This window comes from Homo sapiens, chromosome 17 (genome assembly GCF_000001405.40).
Source record: "Homo sapiens chromosome 17, GRCh38.p14 Primary Assembly".
In the NCBI taxonomy this organism is placed as follows: domain Eukaryota; kingdom Metazoa; phylum Chordata; class Mammalia; order Primates; family Hominidae; genus Homo; species Homo sapiens.
The window spans coordinates 53,595,596-53,598,501 of record NC_000017.11 but is presented as its reverse complement, the minus strand read 5'-3'; positions in this window follow the sequence as shown (position 1 = coordinate 53,598,501).

Here is a 2,906-nt window from a genome sequence, read left to right as displayed (position 1 = left end):
ATTTTGTATCCAATACACACACATATGCATATACACATCCGTGTGTTTTACTGTGTTTTAGTTACATTTAAAGAACTTGTTAAGTGTTTTGTTTGTTTAAACATTATGTTCTTTCATATTTAAAATTATGGGATAGAAGTTCCTGTTAAGTGCCTTCATAGAGAAGTTCTGATTTTGAGAAGCAGATTATCAATGTAAAATGAGGGAAGCCTTTATATGCAGACATATATAATTCTTTATTATCAATTCCAGTTGAATGTCCTCATTGTTCAGAAACCCAACATTTCCTGAGTTTCTGTCAGAATAGCGTGCCCCTTCTAGGTGCACATCATCCTTTGACTTTTGTAACATTGCTCTCTTGAGTTACCTTTACATGGCTCTGGCTTTTTTCTCTCCCTGTCTTGACTTCTAGTATTTTCTTCATCTCTTTCCATCCAAACTCAGTGCTCCAAAGCTTCTTTTCTTAACCTTTCCTCTTTTTCTTTCTTTGTTTAGCAATAGCCTCTGCCTGAGATATCAGCTGTATAGGTACAATATAATGATATCTATCGCCTTCATATTCGCAGCTGCATTCCAGACATCTCTTCCAGATTTCATAAACCCTTCCTTCCTACTTGCATGTAAAGCTCAGTTATCTGTTAGATGTTCGTGAAATCTTCTATGAATTTCTGCAACTACATACAATGTTTCATCTGATAAATCTTTAGAATATTTAAATATTTTCTAATATAAATTATCATATATTTTACCTAGACCATGAGCTATAGATATAAGTGTACTTTTTCTAGAACTTTGAAGACAGAATTTTATTTGTTCATCCCAAACCTCCCAGTATATAATACAGTTTATAAATGACACAGTCAGTGCTCAGTTATGATTAAGTTATACATAAATCATTAAGTATGCAATCATCATAAAACATGGTCAACCAACACAAGGTTAGTTGAAAATGTACATAGGAAGACCACTATGTATTAGGTTCCCTGGGGCTTTTCTAGTGTTAACATTAAATGTTCAGGTTTAGGGAAACTTCTCTATCTCAGGCTAACAAAGACTCTTGGTCACCCATGGTGTGTTTGTGTGTGTTTATGTGTGTGTGAGTCGTATTTACTTTGTTTAAAATTGATGGTAGGCCAGAACTGGGGAGGCAGAGATAGCTGAAACTGAAAAATAGGGAGCAGAGAACATAAATTTATTTTTCTGAATCAAGACTCAAAAGTAAGAGATAATGAGATCAAAGAGATTGGAGCATGGTATCAAGTGTTCAGATAGCTGTTGGTCTCCAATGTTCGCTAGAGACAATAAAAAAGGAATGAAAGACTAAAAATTAAGAACGATTCACTTAATATAGCAGTAGAAACTCCATCACTGCTTTATCAAAGAGTTTTATATAGCTCTAGCCCTCAGATGTTCAGGGAGCAAAGATCTAGAAAGGAGTTTCTGGGAAGACTAACATAGGCATAGATTGAATTAAGAATCTTCCTCTTCGTTATATTGGAAATAACTGATGTTTTTCCTTATAAAAGTGATTTAATCCTGAAATCTAAGGTAGAAGACTTCTATTTCCGTATTTCTACATCCCGTTGGAAAGAACCCTCATAAAATCCTTACTGACTTAAATCATTTTGACTCAGTTATAGACAGGGTCAACTCTAATTGTGCAACTGTATTTAGCGAGCAGTGGTGGCACAGGGGAAAAGCCAGCAGATGTACAAACTAACACAATGACTTTATTGGCATCGAGGTAATCACTGCAATAGGTATAAATCATTAACACCTAAACTATTGGCCTTGTTGAGATCTAGTGTTCTCAACACTTCTTCTGTTGGCCTCTTAACTTGCTCTCCTATTTGCAAAAAGAGAAAATCTGTAAAAACAAAGCAAACAAACAAAAAACTTCATTCATTTCCTAGCTGTAGAGAGTAGAACCCTTATGTTAGGCTGAGAGAGCAGTCTATTCTCATTAAGGCAAAAGATTCTGGGAGGAGTTCAGTAGGGCAGGGCATTACAGGTAAACCTGACGGCTTGCCAACACCCACGGATACTAGCAGGGTGAGCTGTTTGGTGGAAGCAGGTTCCAAGACTGTCAGAAACAATCATATTCAAATATAAAAACCAAAATTTATTCAGGACCAATTACATTAGTTATGGTTTTGAAGTAACGTGACAAGATTTCCAAAATGTATAGGCCAAAATGAGTAATTTTATATTTTCACCCACTGGTATGTGAGTTAAGATGATTTCATTTGGGGAATATACCTCTGTTCCAATGACATCAACTTGTCCATGAGACTTACTGTATTAGTTCGTTTTCACGATACTAATAAAGACATACCCCAGACTGGGTAATATATAAAGAGGTTTAGTTGACTCACAATTCAGCATGGCTGGGGAGGCCTCAGGAAATTTACAATCACGGCAGGATGGGAAGCAAACATGTCCTTTTCATGGCAGCAGGAAGGATAAGTGACAAGCCAAGGGGGAAAAGACCCTTATAAAACCATGAGATCTTGTGAGCACTCACTATCATGAAAACAGCAAGACCGTAACCACCCTATGATTCAATTACCTTCCACTGGGTACCTTCCATGACATGTGGGGATTATGGGAACTACAATTCAAAACGAGATTTGGGTGGAGACACAGCCAAACCATATCACTTGCTAAACAATTAATTAGATATTGCCTCGCCTAAACTTCCAATGTTCTCATCATTTCTCTTATTTCCCATCTCTTTGCCTCTTTGTCTACTATCCTGAGAGATTCTGTCAACATTATCTTCAAACCTATCTGTTTAATATATTCTCTCACTTATGCTATCTTTCAGTATTTTGTCTAGGGAATGTAAGCATGCTTGCCTGCATTCTAAAAGCCCAGTAAAGAAAAATTCTGGAATTCCCAATATT